An 18,423-nucleotide genomic window follows, 5' to 3' on the forward strand; every position below is an offset into this window, starting at 1 on the left:
CCTAAATTGCAATGAAGTTTATAAATATATAAACACAAGACACTATCAAAGTCACAAAAGAAAACTTTATTAATCTAAGATATTGACTTAAAAAAACCCTACTTTAATAATTTTACCCTTCATATTTTAGGAGTAAAACACTATATATACAAATAAAGAGACGTGCTGCATCAGCAGGTACTTGTGAAAGGAAATAACTGAATTGAAACTGCTAACATTTAGAATGTCATCAACTTTACCAAAAATGCTGGGCCTTTCCACTATTATTTCTATAGTAAAATTAATATCATCTTTAAAAATCTTAAATTATATCTACTGTTATTTATACCAAAATATAACACAAATATATCTACCATAAATTTTATCTACCATTATATAACTAATTTATATGTGAGATACATGCTAGTTTCTGCAACCTTCCATAGTGGCATGGAAAAAGACAAGAAGTCTAATTCTGATCCAGGAATAATTCAGAAAGAAATCACTAAGCTGTGCCTGATAGAATTATTAAAAACACCAAAAGAAAGTTGTTTCACAAAAATATTTAAAAAGGGAGTTAAATGGAATCCTATTTATCATTTCAGAGCATCAAAATAATATTTTGCTTGTAATAGATACTATCTAACAGTATTTGAAAACCGGCAGATTATACATTTCAATAAGGCCACTAACTTAATTCTATCAAATCAGGTAAATTGTATGTACATGTATGTAGTTATGTATACATATGAAAAAACTATAATACAAATTATCACCAAATGATTTAGAAATGAAAAGTGTATAATTTAATAAAGGAGTCTGATGACACACTGTATGTTGGCACAAACTGCCTCTTGCCTTGGAGGACTTCTCAGGACCGCTAAAATGTTGAAAGGACTTTTTTTCCTGTTTTGTTCACTAATGTATCCCAAGTGCCTAGAACTGGGCCTGGCTATTAGCAGATGCTTATTTGTTGAATAAATTAATTAAGCCATGTTCATCTAATTTTGATATGTGACCATGAAATGTGGATGATGAGACAAGTCTCTCAGAGACATGAAGGCATTTGTGGATTCCTTAAGGGAAAGGTGTGCTGTCTTATTCATCTTTGTAACAGTAGCAACACACACAGAGAGTATGCATACTATATATCAGCAGATTAAAATTAATTTTGTGGTGTTAATTTCCCATGGAAATACTGGGACAATTAAAAAAAATGTGGTTGAGGTTCTCTACACTCATTTAAAGAATAAGTCTATTAGCATGAGCTGTATTTTAATCACTGAAGAAAAGTAATATAAAAGCTCCAAACTATCATTGTATTATATGGTTATAATAGCCTATAATTAGGTTAATAAACTTTAGGTACTCATCTATATATGTATGTTTTAAAGTATTTAATATGCATGTACTCAGAGACTTAAGATAAAGCTTAGACTACTCTGACATTTCAAAGTGTGTTCAGTTTTTTATGAGTGGGTGACAGTTGTAAAACTCTAAGGTCTCTGGATTTAGTTCCATGCTCTTGGAGACAGCTGTGTTCCTAAATTCAGAATATTTTGAATTGTAGAAAGGTAACAGAGTGCATATACTATTTATTACAGAGCACTTCCAGTATATCACACATTAGTGTTTCTCCAGCAAAATATATGAATATTCAGATAAATAATAAAGATGACTGTTTTATGTTAGTTTGGGTTAGGTTTTGCTACCTTTATTTTTAAATTTTCAGTTTTCAGAGCATGATGGATTTCTGCTTTGCAGACAAGGGACTGTGGACTTATTTCACACTTGTTTACCTTGCCAGGAGCTTAGTTCCAAGTTTATTTTTAGCATATTTTTCATCTGTCTTCTATATTACAAGCCTCAACATTAAGTTAGTTTCTGTAAAACCTAACTTAGTTTATATTTACAAATTTAAATAGCCTTGCCCTTTGATGTCAAAATTATACAAATTGTTACCTAATTAAAAATTTGTTACATAAAAGACAAAATCATACAAGTTGTTTCCATAGTGTAGTTACAGATTTATAAATCATGTGCTAAGTCGCTTTGTACTCCTATCTGACAACTAGGGCACAACCCAATACTAAAACATCATCTGATGACAAAAACATACAGAAGGCAGTATTATCAGTAATTAGATATTGAGACCATCATAAATTGTTGGGAAAGGTGAGAATTACACATTTAAAATTCCAAGATTATATGGCAAAAGTTAACCCTTAAAACATTTGGACACTAAGGGTCTGTTCAACAAATGCCTACTCCAGATCCGTTTCCTGCAGTGGCTGTGATGCTGGAATAAGACTGCTTGAGTTAGTGTCCTAGCTACATTACTTACTAGCTAAGGGGCAAGAACCTTCCTATGCCTGAGATTCCTCACGTGTAAAACAGGTAAAATACAATACAACGTACTTCACAAGGTGATTTTAAGGATTAAATGAGTTTATGTATAGAAAGTAACTAGAGTAGTGCCTCTTCTACATCCCAAATCATACCTTATTCTATTACCCTATTTTACTGTCATCAAAATATTAACAGTAGTATTTATTTTCTGTCTCCCCAAACTACAATCTAAGCTCCATGAGGGCATGGCCTTTGTCTATCAAGTTCACTGTTATATCTACAGTTTCTAGGAAAGTTCTCTACTCTAGGTGCTCAATACGTATTTTTTCAACATTAATAAATTGACGGCAAGATGTAATTTGCAGCAGTATACTTAATATGAAAAAACATAAGACAAGACACGATCCCAAGCAATGATACAAGTTCCCTCTATCACTCCTCTGATCACCTACTTAGCAAACATCTTCATGTTTTAATTCAGGGTTACTGTGAAGCCCTTCCTGAACCACTCATATTGAGCTCTGAGTGCCTCCTCATACTCTGACAGTACTTTGTACGTAGGTCCATTTAAGCAGTTATTATTTTGTACTATAATGGTTTGTTTGTAGTTTTATCACTGTGACTTTTCATTTGTGCATGGGCATGGGGGATCATCATCTTATTTATAGCCGGTGGCTTGCACAGCACAGAGAATGCAAAGAAAACCGACAATTACATTGCTTACTCATGTTGATGCATGATGTGTGAAACATTCTTAAAGAGAAAAAGACCAAAGGATCTAAAATAGAATGGTCTGATATGTGATAACTGACAGTAATTAATGCCTTTATTGATAAAGTAAGTAGTGACCATAAAAAACACCAAAGGATCTGGAAATGTTTATATTTTCCAAGTACCAATGGAAGATATATGCAAGTAAGAGAAGCTTAGAAAGCCACATTTTAGTTTCCTCACTCAAAAACAAACAAACAAAAACAAAACAAACCAAAAAAACCCCACCACAAAACAGGTACCCTATTAAATTCCCTCTCTAAATTTGCTCATACCACCACCCTATTCTTTCTTCTCTTCAAAGTACTGTATTTTTTTTCTCTATTTCAGCATTTTCTGATATTTAGGAGCTACTCTAGACTCCCAAAAGTACCACCTAAATGACTATACCATGTGTGTTTCTTTTTCATTTTCAAAATTAGTACATAGTAATTACTTTTAAAATTAAGTGTCAAACTGTATCTGAGTTTCGTTAAATTTAGAAAATGAAATATTCAAAATCACAGCTGCACAGTCACTTAAAAACATTTAGTAAACAAAAACAAGCCACATTCTTACAGCACAAAAATTCCTTAAGGATTTTTCCAAGTTTAACAGACACTTCAATGAATCAGCCATAGAAATATTTATACTAACTTTCTCCTGCATATCTCTGGAAGCATAAAAAGGTATTAAAAATAACCTCTGAATTGTAAGAGTTTATAACCTAACCAAGGAGATATCTATACAAAGTTGTCATATAACATCATTGAGCAGCCCATATAGTATGCCTAAGGACCAAAGATAACAGCAATAATTGAGGACAACAGTGGATGAAACCAGTGCCAGAAGGGAGGTTTCAAGAGAGAGGTAAGCTGGACCATGAGGTCATGGAAAGGATGTAGAAAAACAGGCACAAATGTAACCAGTGGATACCAAATAGACTAGTTACAGGAGGGGGGGGGATGATGCTGGCTTTTAAAACGTTTTATATTTCCGTATGTTAAGGAGGTATCAATATATTTTTACTTGGCTAAGAGTTCTATGAAAGTGATGTTGAGTTTCGTGAAATCCCTTTTAGTCATCAAGACATTTTAGAAGAGGAGACTTGCTACAACTACTTTAAATGAGAATTAATCATAGCTAGACTAGAATTTTTTTTTTTAAGGCAAACCAGGATTGGGGCTAAATGACAAAGCTATGACAGAAATGTAATGCTAAGTAACAGTGCTATAGGAAACAGGCAAGTATTTCTGGCAGCTGCTCCTGCTAGCATGAGAAGTACTCTTACAGTAGAGATTATTAATAGCTATATACTTTGGGAGAGGTTGTCACTTATACTGTAAAGATACCATGCTAAAATTCAGAAATGTAAAAGTATAATCTAATGTGACAAAAAATGAGACAACCATAAGACTCTCCATATAAAAAATATGTTGAATCAATAATAAATTATCAAATCATACATGTGGGTCATCTATTTAGATAAAAACACAGATCACAGTTTTAAAACGATGAAAAGAATAGAAGAAAATTACAGTTGAAAATAATATAGGTGACAAGTCTATGGCAAATATTATCTCCTATAAGAATAAAAAATAAAATCACTATGAGCGACAAATAATTTTTTAATCAATTGATATATTTTCCTTATGAGGCCTTAAGTAAAAACATATATCGTTATTTTCTCAAAATGAAAATTCAGTTCACAGAAAACCTAGAATAATAAACATGGAAGTACAATGATACAGTATCAGCTAAGTAAAGTCCACAAAGCTTTGCCATAAGAATAAATGTGCTTTAAAATATAATGTCTTGTAACATTAGAAACCCCATGCTGTTTTTGAACTGATACAATTTTTTCTGAAAAAATTTAATAATATTTATCAAGAATCTAAAGAAGTTCACACTCCTTGACCCAATAAAACTACTTGTAGAAATCTGTGTACAGTGATGTGGTTAAATTTATGCATAACGATGTTCAAAGCAGGTCACAATCTAAATCAACAATAGTGAGAAATTACGATATATTTATATGGCAGATTATATACTTTTGAATACCTACAGCCATGGGAAAATACTAGCAGTATATTAAAAATGAATTAAAGTGGCAGTTTTGTTTAAAAAATTATATGCTTAAAATCCTTATTGTGGTTATTTCTGACCCGTGAGATTACTAATAATTTAGGACACTGTAAAGACAAGTGCCTTTTCTACATTACATATTTAACATGTCTAATAGTTTTATAAAGAGAAGTAAAAGATATTAAATATTGGAGGGAAATAAAAATTCATTATATAGCCATTGAACTCAGACTTTGGAGGATATTAAATTACTAAATTTGGGAGGGTAATAATTCCCAAATTTGCTTTACCAACAGAGCTTATGATGGTCGGTGTTTTGGGTATGTATAAAATCTTCATATTAATGAAAATTTTATTGTAGAATAAATAATTAGAGATGTTATTTTCTGAAACAAAAGCAATACGACTGTTTAATAAGCCTAGCAGACCTTGCTGAAAAGTTCTAACAAACCCAACAGTCTACTACAGGAGTATAATAGATTAAAATTATACACCCCTTGAACTAACTGAAGTTTATACATACAAAAACAACAAATTAGGTTATGGACTAATTTGTTATGAGAATGAGAAGATTAAAATTTTGAATATAGGCTTGTCTATTATCATGAATAACTGAACAATGAAGAAAAACCTGAACCTAACACAGTATTGCTAAGAGGTCCTATGAGAGGTGCTGTGTTTTTTTTTGGTCATAATTGTCAAAAGTACTAATTGATTAACTGATGAGAATGGTACTGCATTGTCTTTTGAGGATAGTCACCTGTTAGGCACCCTGTTCTCAGTTGCCTGACCCCAGACCCTGAAGTATCATCCCTCAGTTTACAAAAAGACACAGGACAAACATGCATACGGTCTGAATATTTCCAGTTTTTTCATGACTAAAATTGTTACATAATCTGTGAGATAACTCTATAACTAAAAAGGAAAAAAAAAACTTAAAAGGGATTACACAAAAAATTTTAAATTTATAAAGGGACGGTGCTACAAAAATTATTTGTAAGTCAACTGTTTGAAACTTTGTATTGTCTCATAGAAACAATGTCAACAGCAATAGGCCCCCAGACTAACCCTACAAAATACTAATAGTTGAAACGTGTTAAGTTCACAAGAAAAAAAATGTATATGTTACAAAGCATAGTAAAAGAACAGCCAGTACCTGCAGCATTAGAGAGTCCTGAGATTAAATACCAGCGTTCCGAACTACCTGGAAAACTGGGAGAGTTATTCACTTGTCTGAGCCTCAGTTTTCTCATCTACTGAATGGAGATAAAACTTACATTGTTTCATTAACATTTAAACTATTTAAGGATTAAATGGATTAAAATATAAAAAGTAGCTGAGGAGTACCTAGAATACATAGTTGGCTCTTTTAAAATGATAGAAATCATCAATACCATTATTATACATTTAGAAGATAAATAATAAAAAGCAGTATGTTAAAATTCTAGTGATTAGGCCAGGCACGGTGGCTCTGCCTGTAATCCCAGCCCTCTGGGAGACCGAGGCAGGTGGATCAACTGCGGTCAGGAGTTCGAGACCAGCCTGGCCAACATGGTGGAGCCCTGTCTCTACTAAAAATATCAAAAAAAAAAAAAAAAGTTAGCTGGGCATGGTGGTGGGCACCTATAGTCCCAGCTACTCAGGAGGCTGCGGCAGGATAATCGCTTGAACCTGGAAGGAGAAGGTTGCAGTAAGCTAAGATCGCACCAGCCTAGGTGACAGAGGAAGAGTCTGTCTCAAAAAAAAAAAAAAAAAATCAGAGTGATTAGATACGCAAAAATAAAATTCTTCCTCCCACAAACACAAAGGAACTAGAGAAAATGAGTCTTATAAAGGAAAGTAATGGCTTAAAGCTCCAGAACCCCATTCTAAAAACTCACCATAAAATGAAACTTACACAAGCAAAAAGCTATATGCAAAAGAAAATTTACTACAGTACTGTTGTAACAGTAAAAACCTGTTTTTCACTGTTTTTATAAATAACATTTTATTAAAACACAGTCATGCCTATTTGTTTAAGTACTGTCTGTGGCTGCTTTCATGATAGAAAGGCAGAGAGAGCTGAGTGCAACAGAGGCCAACTACACGGTCCACAAAGCCTAAAATATTTACTGGCCCTTTGCAGAAAAAGCATGTGGACTCCTGATTTAAGATGACGATACATAAGATGTGACAGTAACACCTTTTCAAATGACACACAAATATTCTACTTTTATTTCTATTTTTATTTTAAAGAAAAATAATTTTAAGTACAGTATTTGGAATAGAATTTGATATAGAATATAATCACTATGAAATTATTTTCAACTACTGGAAACGTCAGTTGTATATTTCACTATTTCCTGAGTTCCTGGGTCTCAGATGCATAAATCCTTGTCCCTTATCTGTGCTCCATCCTTTCCACCAAAGCTCTACTCCATTCTCTCCTGTGTTGCTGATGCCTATGCTACACAAACTCAAGAATATAGGAGGCACTCTAAATACAATATTTGTCTATAAACCAGCAGTCAAACCAGATATATTTAAGTCCCAAATAAACCAACAATTGCATGTCATTTGGAAATTTCTACTAAAATAGTAACACTGAAGAATAATTTTAAGAGAATATTCTAAATGCTTAAAAGTGCTCCAAACAAAAACAAAATGAGTCAAGAGATGAAATTTATGCATTAAAAGTCCATTTTCTTTCAACATACACTTATTATGCCGGGCATGGTGGTTCATGCCTGTAGTCCCAGCACTTTTGGAGGCTGAGGCGAGCAGATAAAACATTTGAGTCCAGGAGTTCAAGACCAGCCTGGGCAACATGGTGAAACCCCATCTCTACAAAAATACAAAAATTAGCCAGATGCGGTGGCATGCACCTGTAGTCCCAGCTACTTGGGAGGCTGAGGTGGGAGGATCTCTTGCACCCAGGAGATGAAGGCTGCAGTAAGCCAAGATGGCGCCACTACACTCCAGCCTGGGAGACAGAGTGAGACACTGTCCCAAAAAAAGCAAAACAAAAAACCATGCAATTATTAGTTGTAAGCTGCATCTTAATATAATTTCTCTTATTACTAGAAAGAAAAAAATGTTGCTAGGTAAGCTATCTAGTGCCATCAAGATGTATCCTTATTTCATATATGCTTATAATGTGAAAAAATAATGCATCTTAGGATTTAAGAAATATAACATTACCATAATTAGGCATTCCAATTTCAAATAAAAAATAGTTATTTTTCTATAACCTACAAAATAACTGGTTATTTTAAATATCTTTACCTAATTATTTTATAGGTTAAATAATTTTTTCCTGTAAAATTTATCTTCCCTTAAAAGACAACCAAGGCTTTTTTTAGTTAAAAATTGTATTCCCAAATTTTTCTGATACTAAGAAATACCTGCAGAACTTATTTTTAGTAAGTATTCCAGCTGATATTTATGACCAGGAAAATCTGAGAAAACACAAACAAATTATGAGGACTGCAAGACTAAAAACATTTTTTTCTTTCTCTCTTCTAATTTTAGTTTTTTTTCAGAGGCAAGGTCTCACTCTGTCACCCAAGCTGGAGTGCAGTGGTGCCATCACAGCTCACTGCAACCTCTAACTCCTGGGTTCAAGAAATCCTCCTACCTTGGCCCCCAAAGTGTTGGGATTACAGGCGTGACCCACCATGCCTGGCCTAAAAACATTTTCATTTGAAGGTAAATGATTAATAGCTAGGTTGCTATTTATTTACTGTTGTTAGTATTAAATCCAATGCTTATAAATTATCTCAGATGAGCAGCTAGAATAATTTATATAATACATTAACTACCAGTACTAATATTACACTTAATAGTAAGGTAAATTAATTTCCTGAAAATATTTGAAGAGATATAAATTGAAGTTATAGTTATTACTGCTACCTTAAAATTTTTTCCACTATTTTCAAACTTTTTTTATTCTGTCCAAAATATTAACTGTGCAAACATTAACTTGACTCAGTATCTATGATGACTGGAAGGAAAATACCATGCTTTCAAATTTTAATAGATCAAGACTGCATATAGTCTCATAAGCAATAACTATACATTACATTCAGCTCATGACTTAGAAGGAAAAAAGTGGTCTGTAAAATACAGAAGAATGTTTGCTTTGTGTGCTTTGTTGTCAAGGTGTATAGCAATCTGCTTGAAAGAAAGTAAAAATACCCGATGTAAAAGCCATACAATACGTCAGGTACAAAATATTATTAATTATAACATATTAAAAATATCTTTAAAATTTCTAATAAAGAAAAATGGGAAAGTTAATAAATAACACAGAAAATGTAAATCAACTAACCATTTGCAAAAGGAAAGAAAGGATATAATTTCACAATCCCTCTAATATTTCTAGTAGTCAGAGTCAATGAGTTATGCAATAGTAAATTATTGGCCGGCAGGCTAAAATTGAATGTGTTCATTTTGTTTTTTAAATATCTTCTAAAAATTTTAATATGAATTTCATTTTTAATATTTAGTTTTATTCTGCTATTACAACTGCAAGGCTATAATTTAACATAACACAGTAACCTAGAAAAGTCAAATTAAATAGTGACCCCAGAAAGCCCTCAGGAAAGCCTTACAGTTCTCTATTAATTTATCTTACAGAATCTTCTCCTATGTCTTTTAAACTTAATGTCCATGTTAGAAGACAAAGACAGGAAATATATACTGTAACATAATGAGGCAATCTCCCATATGTACTTGTTTATTAAAAATATTCAATAAAAAAATTAACTTGATTATTAACATCTTAACCCTTTAATTTTAAAAAGCCCTACACTTCTTTTTCTCAATTTTTAATTTTATTTGTATTGGTATTTTCTTTTACAGGGGTATAAGATAATAAATTAGTTTATTAGTGACTTTAAAGCTATTAGAGGCCTCTATAAAATACTCAAATCAGAGCAGTGACCTCATTCAGAAGAAGCTACTAAAATGACAAGGTGAAAGCAGACAAAATAAAACAAACACTTTCTTAAAACAGTAAAGTACAAAAGTAACAAGAGGGTGCTGGGGATATTTGTATTCTGTTTTCGATGTTTAAACTGTATTACATTTTAACCTCATGTAAAAGTTTTCCAACATGGCTGCCACTTGTTTGGCGTAGAAGTGGAAACTACTCAAAAAGAACTAAGCTAACTAGAAAATATGTTTTTATGAAGGTTAAGTTCCAGCAAATAGAAGATTCTCTTTATTAAGGAGGAAAAATATTCTTCCAGTGTTATGGATTATTCTATTTAATAGAATATTTCCCCTTTAGCTAAAAGAAAAAGTACAATACAATTATGTGTCAATTAAAAACAAAATAAAACTTTAAGAAACGCACAAAAAGATAGAACCCTAACAGTGTTGATATACACAAATACACTCATTTAATCCCAAGCAGTGGTTTGTTTGTTTGTTTCAGGCTCATAAACCTATGTTAGATCTAAAAATATATCACTCTAATAAATAATTTGAAACTGGCAATTTAAATTAACTCAGGAAATACAAAAAATTGCTCATGTTAACAGGGTTAAAACTTGTTGACCAGGGAGAGGAGTACGTAATCCTGAGAAACATCCAATAGATCATACAAGTTCTACAAAATGTTTGTTAGTTCAGGATTGTCTATATATAAACCATATCGTAACTGCCACACAATAGCATGCTATTTTTATTTTATATAACAGCAAAAAGTAGTGTTCCTATTAAGTTTGAATGTAAGGAATAGCAATTTAAAAAAATAATACAGCTTAAGAGGCCAAAGAAGCCTAAGGATTTGGAACACTTTTTAACGAATGAAATGCTGTATTTCCCATGTATAAGGAGAATACCATCAACTTTTTGCCTTTCATGCAAAAACTACAAATTTACAGTGCTAATATTTGTCAACGTATTTCAAAACATACCTTTTTACATTTACTAATTTTAGATAAATCTGCAGGATTCTAATTTCATGAAAAATAAATGAGAGAAAAAGGTGAACTGGGTAACCCTATCTTCTAGGCTCTATATCATATTATAAAACTATCACTTATATAAGTGTTTACTGGCTACACAATGCATTGATAGTTTTAATTTTAAATAAAAACTGAAATTTGAGGCATCTTTTCACTAAAAGAGGCCAAGGTACTTCACTTAAATAAACATTCATATTTTTCAAATGTGTGAGACTTACCCGTCTTCGACAAAAAGGGAGGCCTTGGGCAATGATGCTAATGCTAAATATCTTCATCACAGTTTGATGTGGTAGAGGCTCTTTTGCACTTTTAAGATCAACAGGAACCAAGCCATGGTTTAGAGTAGGTTTTCCCGGTTTTGACATTTTAAAACTCCTCTTGGTTGACGAATACTCTCTACATGTAATACAGGCACATTACTAAAAGCTCTAACCACTAAATTTTAAAAATATATATTTAATAATAGTTTTTAAAAGGCTGAGAACCCAAGGCCTGCTGCTTTTGTCTTTCAACCTTCCCCTACCAAATGTCCTGACCTGTCTGAGGCTTGGTGAAGTGCAAACTATCCTAGAATAGCCAGGAATTATAAACTACTGAAGTGAAAGCTCCTGCTCCTGCCAGTCAAACAGCTGGTGAACCTCTCATACAAAGTCAGTAATGTGAACACAACCAAAGCAGGGCTGTGCTGTAAGGTCCCTTTTAATATTTCTCCAACTAACTAATCTAAGAGTGTTTCCTAGAAAGTGAAAGTAAATTTTTACTTACAAAAATAAAATAAAAAAAACAAACATTGTATCTTGAGTATCTATTAAGTCTTCCTTATCCAAATGTCAGCATTAATATTTTAGGAATGTTTTGAATTCTGTTACAAATTTTGTTTTGAATTTTTTGAACTGTGTTTACGTATGGTTTAAAAAAAACACACACACATATGTATGTTTGTTCTACCTTAGATATATTATAATGAGCACTATTTTCAAGTGTGTGCTCTCTTTCCCTTTTCCATACACACCATTCTTTATCTCATACTCACTAGACATTAAATACTGTATACTCTGGTTCTCTAATAGCTATTAATACACACTTCAGATTAATCTTTGTACCAGAGTTTTCAATTGTCAATCTTTAATTCTGAAAAACTTATTGATTATACTTGAAAGCATAACAGTCACCCAACTGATTAAAGACATGTAAAAAGTGTATTTATTTATAAAGTAATCTATGATGGGAAGTAATTATAGTAAAATGGGAGAGTAACTAGCCAGTCCATTGCAAATCCCTAGTGCCTAATTTCTCCTTCACAGTATGGTCAGATAAATCTTCCTAAAACACAGAGAGGGAATGCAGTGTGCCGTTTACTCCTCAAGAACCTTCAATGGTTCTCCACGGCCTAAGATAAAGTCTGGAGATGAAGACTCTCTTCAAAGTGGCCCCAAACTAAACTTTCCAGCATTATCTCAAATATTTCCCTAAATTAACCATTTGTGCAAGTGTTAATTAATCTTTATACTATAATCCATATTCCTAACAGATAGTAGATAATGATTGTGAACTATCCATTCACAGTGCTCAATCAACTATTCTCTCTTTCCATTCTATTTTCTTCTTCCAACAGCCAGTCAGCTCCACTTATCTCTCCTTCCAACTTTTAACTTCCAAGCTTTTATGGAGTTTTATAGCAGGAATTTTGACGGAGACAAGAAAGGATTTGAAAGGAGAAAGTTAGAAATGGGTGATTTCTTTTTGACTTTGGAAAGATTAGCATTGCTAAATATTAAAGTGGGCTGCTGGGAAGGCAATCTATGCACAAGAAATAGTCCCATTCCTATTAGTAGACCTTTCTCTTATACCACAATTTAAAATGTAGTTAAAAATGCAAAATCACTGGCAGCAATGCTACACAAAAACAGATTTCTCCAAAGATATGTAAATGGTCAATAGGCACATGAAAAGATGCTCAACATCACTAATTAGGGAAATGCAAATCAAAGCCACAATGCGCTACCACTTCACATCCATTAGGATGGTTTTAAAACAAAACAAAACAGTAAACAACAAGCATGGGCTAGGATGTGGGGAAATCAGAACCCTTGTGCATCCTTGGCGGCAATGTGAAATGAATGAATGTAGCTGCTGTAGAAAATAGTATGGCAGTTCCTCAACAATTTAAACATAAAATCAGCACATGATCCAGCATTTCCACTTCTGAGTATATACCTTAAATAATTAAAAGCAGAGACTTGAACAGATACCTGTATACACATGCTTATAGCAGCCTTATTAACAATAGCCAAAAGGTAGAAGCAACTCAAGTCTCAATGAATGAATGAATAAACAAAATGTGACATATACAAACAAGGGAACATTATTCAGCTCTGAAAAAGAAGGAAATTCTGACATATGCTACAACATGCATGAACCTTGAAGATACTATACTAAGTAAAATAAGTCAGTCAAAAAAGGATAGTGTATGATCCACTTATATAAGGTACTTGGAATACTTAAATTTGCATAGATAGAAAACAGAATCATGGTTGTCTGAGACAGGGAGAGGGGGAAATGAGAGTTAGTGTTTAGTTGGCACAGAGTTTCAGTAGGAGAAAATGAAAATATTCTGAAGATGGATAGTGGTAATGGTTGTATAACAATGTAAATATATTTAGTGCCACTGAATTGTATACTTAAACATGGTTAAAATATTAAATTTCATGTTATGGATATTTAACCATAAATTTTAAATGTTTTTAAACAAAAAAGTAAATGATTGAAAATGGAATAATCATCACCAAAAAAACCTCGAGAGATCTAAGGTTAGGAGAGAGAAGAGATAATATGAGAGTGTTGGAAACCTATAAACTGGTAGTAGAAAAAAAGTGAGAATGATATCCAAGATACCATGTCTACAGCCCTATGAGACAACTTACTATCCTGCAGAATGAATACTAGGTTCATGCTAGTCTTAGCATCTCCTCAGATGTTCACTTTATTTTCCAACATAAGACTAATTGTTTTGTTTGTGAAACATATGTCATATTTTGTCCTTCTCTCATTAGACAATCCCTTTTGCTAAAGTAGGTCCCATGGAATATCCTTATCTCAGTTACTAACACTACCTGTTAATATTACAACAGTTTTCTGCAGTCTGAGATTATTTTCAAAAAAATTCTGTCTCAGTGATACCTTTGAAATCAATTGGATAATTAACCCCCCTGAATTTCTTTTCCTGAACTACATAGAAGATACAATTTTAACAATGTGATACTCCAATGCAGAAAAATTAGAAGAGGGTAATATATTCTACGAGTTTAACATGTTCATTTGGCATTTAGAAAAATGAATCAAAGACCTAGTTAGCCATCAGTGGTTATTCCACTGGTTAATAAAGATAATGTATTCAATATTATAAATTTTCACTTTTACATTTAAAAGCCCTCAAAGAACTCTAAAGTCACATGTATTTACATGCAGACATTTTAAAGATAAGAAAATCCCTGATCTCAATGAGTCTGATCCTAACGGGGGGAAAAAAGATTTAGAATTGAAAAGAACTTGGATTGGGAAAATTAAAACTAAAATCAACAGTTTCTAGTTTCTAAGAGACCAAAAGTTACTATGAAGTAAAGCTAGGCTTTTCATTTTCATGAAATAATTTACAATGACAACAGAAACAAAACATAAGTGAACACAATTAAGGCTGTTTGTACCTCAAATGTGGAGTTTTTTAGTGGATACCAAGTTTTGGTAAGCACAAGGGGGTAACATTCTAATTCAATTATTATTTTTTTAAATCAGTAAATAGCTGCCCTCAACTGGATAATACAGGGCATTGCAACTGTGGCAAACCAAACGCTGTAACAGAATCCTGTGTTTGTCATAATATATTTTTGGAAAAAGAAGACATTATCAATGATTGGGCAAAGTGAGTACTAATTTCCAAATATATATACTACAAGTTTCATTTTTTTGGGAGGATTCAAGTAACAGTATTTCTAATGCGATATTCCCAATCAACACGAAACACTAAAAAAACAAACCTTCAAATATAGACAAAAACCCTAATAAATGAGGGAAATCATAGACAAGGTATATAAGAACCCCAACTGTTAATACTTCAAAATGTAGCTAATTCCATGTGTTCAAGAAAAGATAAAGTCTGAGTCTCAATTCTACTCTTAAAAACATTAAAGATACTCTTTAATTACTACCCAAATTGAGACTCTTAAAAACAGACAAGCTCTTTTAAAGATGATACCACAAATAATAAGGCAGTGCAATATGATAGGTAGGAACATGGACTCCAGAACCAAACTAACTTAGTCCAAATCCTGGCTTTACCAGGTATGACCTTAATTTAATTCGTGTCTCAAGTTCACCTAGGCAGTACTCATAGGACTGTTGTGAGGATTAAAAATTAGTTGATATAAGTATACAGAGTAACGCCTCACATCTAGTAAGTGTTCGATAGTGTTAATTAAACTGTCATTATGATTACTACTACTATTAATGGAATCAAAAATCACATAGAGCTTTGTAGATTACATTTCCAATTTTAAAATCACCAGGAAATAAAGCAGATTCTAAAATCCATCTATAATAACTTTGGAAAAGAATATTTTAAAACATATTATTTGTAAGTTTCAGAAAGACTTCTATAATTCTGTCAAAATTTTTGCCAAAATATGAAGCTGTAGTATCTTAGCCATAGTGTCTTGGCATTTTAAGATTCCAGATACCACTGATCATCCAAGATGGGCTAAACATTAGGGAACTTGTAGTAAAGAAAAGGTCTTTATATAAGGTAACTTATTTTGCCCACTTATCACTCCCTGATTTTCTTTCTTCTAAAAATTTGCATCCGTAAAAACAATTATATATAAATGTGACATGTAATAAAATATCACCAATACGGTATCTGTAAAATGCATTACAAGTCCAAGCACTCCAATTCTCTTGTAACAACAATAAAAATACCATCACAGCAATTTACTCTGGATTTCCATCTTTTCTTTCATTCAGTATTATACAAAAGGCTAGAAATTTAACTGCTCCTGACCAAAGCCACAGCATATGAGCAGCACAAAGATTTTCCATTTTTCATAAATTATTCCTGAATCAGCTAAAACAAATCACTCAGAAGATGTAAATCTCCCTGCAAATTCAAATTGACTTTATACCAAGAGTTTTCAAAGTCTTACCTCAAAAACTTTCACAGGAATAATATCAACGTATGTTATTTGAATTCAGTATTATTCACTGCTTCTGTGAATTCAGGCAACAAGTGACTTACTCTGTTGTAGAAACAGAAAGTCCCACATGCTAAAAAGTATACCATTACTGAAGTGCAATAAATCAGAATCAAAATCCTTCTGATCAGATAATATGGTATTATCAAGCATACTCACTTATTTCACAGATACAGAGTAAAGCAGATTATTTTATCTACCAAATCAGTTTTTAGTCTTCCTAACATCATAGATATCAGAGTATTAAAGTATTTCCCTACCAAGCAATTCACAAATGAACGCAATTCATGGTTGAAGACGGAACAATTTAAACACAGAGGAAAACAATCATAAATCAATAAATTAAACCCTCTGCTTAATGATAAATTATCAAGCTTGTATTAGCAAAAACTGTAAAAAAAAAAAAAAAAACATCCAGCAAGCAACATATTACTTTAAATGCAGAAACATAAATACAATTAGATTGGGCATCAAAGAAAAAAAACATGGCATACCTTTTTTTTTTTTTTTTTTGAGACTGAGTCTTGCTCTGTTGCCTAGGCTGGAGTGCAGTGGTGTAATGTCGGCTCACTGCAACCTCCGCCTCCCAGGTTCAAGCAATTCTCCTGCCTCAGTCTCCTGAGCAGCTGGGATTACAGGTGCCCACCACCACGCCCAGCTAATTTTTGTTATTTTTAGTAGAGACAGGGTTTTACTATGTTGGCCAGGCTGGTCTCGAACTCCTGACCTTGTGATCCGCCCACCTCGGCCTCCCAAAGTGCTGGGATTACAGGCGTGAGCCACAGCGCCTGGTCAGGATATCTTTTAAAGTTTTAGTATTTTTTTTTTAAGCTTTAGTATTCACAAAAGGTATGTCAAATAAATTAAAATGTTTTTATAAGATTAAAATCACATTTAAAATGATTACTAAAAATGTTCTAAAAGATATTTATTTACATGCTCAAAGTGCTCACTCAGATTACAACTTCCAATTATAATGTATTTGAGACATTACATGTATGTAAACATTCAATGGACAACATACTGCACTTCCCTGCTAATTTTCTTCATTTGGGCAACAAGGGCGGCCCCTAACTAAGAGAAATATGCTTGGGTTCTGAAGCAGCACATACAACATACACAAGTGTTATAAAAATGTGACCTGATAATTGGACATTTGCAAAATAAAAGCATTGCATGTACATGCCTATATGCACAGATAGGTAGCATTCTCAAAATAAAAATGCCAGAATACTAGATTATATAAGGTATTGTAACTGCTCTGATTTATGGAATCAACATCTCAATGTTAGACATTTAAGCTGTTTTATATTCCAGTTATTTCCAAAAATTTTGCTGAAAATACATTATAAATTAAAAAGTAAAACACAGAAAACCAACCAAAACAAGTGCTAATAAATTATAAGTTGACAGATGACAAAACCATCCCATGGTACACCAGAAACTCCAAGATTCAGGAACCTTAACTATTTAATGTCTTGCAGTACAATTACCTGGAGTTTATACTTCAGATTTCTACAAAGAGGAGGCTAAATATTTAATAGATATAGACTATCTGACTTCTCTTCAGATGATTGAGATTAAGTCCCTTGCAGGTTTAAGAGTACATTACATCTCTAAATCAACAGAATGAAAAGACAACCTACAGAATGGGAGAAAATATTTGCAAACTATGCTTCTAACAGGGGGCTGATATGCAGAATTGACAGGCAACTCAACAACAAAAACCAAATTAACTTCATTAAAAAGTGGGAAAAGAACATGAATAAATACTTCTCAAAAGAAGACATACATATTTTTTCATGCCTACAAGCATGAAAAAATGTTCAACATCATTATCAAAGAAATGCAAAGTAAAACCACAATGAGATCTCATCTCACACCATTCAGAATGGCTATTATTAAAAAGACAAAAAATAATAGATGTTGGCGAGGATGTGGAGAAAAAGAAATGCTTATACGGTGTTGGTGGGAATGCAAATTAGTACAATCTCTATGGAAAACATTATGGAGATTTCTCAGAGAACTAATAATAGAACTATCATTTGATCCAGCAATCCCAC

At 32.6% G+C, this 18,423-nt stretch overlaps 1 protein-coding gene across 15 annotated transcripts in view; it reads right to left on the reverse strand.

The window, feature by feature from the left end:
* The window catches only part of FBXW7 (F-box and WD repeat domain containing 7), a 215,549-nt gene that overhangs the window by 50,310 nt on the left and 146,816 nt on the right, over positions 1–18,423 (reverse strand). For 3 of the 15 annotated variants that reach the window (XM_047415902.1, XM_011532087.3, XM_011532086.3), the window contains one exon: positions 11,336–11,513. The exons of 11 other annotated variants lie outside the window; for them this stretch is intronic. In XM_047415902.1, coding sequence (XP_047271858.1) covers positions 11,336–11,513 — 178 coding nt within the window. Of the gene's footprint in view, positions 1–11,335; positions 11,677–18,423 lie in introns of those variants that run through there. One more of the 15 variants, NM_001013415.2, reaches the window with a different exon arrangement.

Source organism: Homo sapiens, chromosome 4 (assembly GCF_000001405.40).
Source record: "Homo sapiens chromosome 4, GRCh38.p14 Primary Assembly".
NCBI classification, from domain to species: Eukaryota; Metazoa; Chordata; class Mammalia; order Primates; family Hominidae; genus Homo; species Homo sapiens.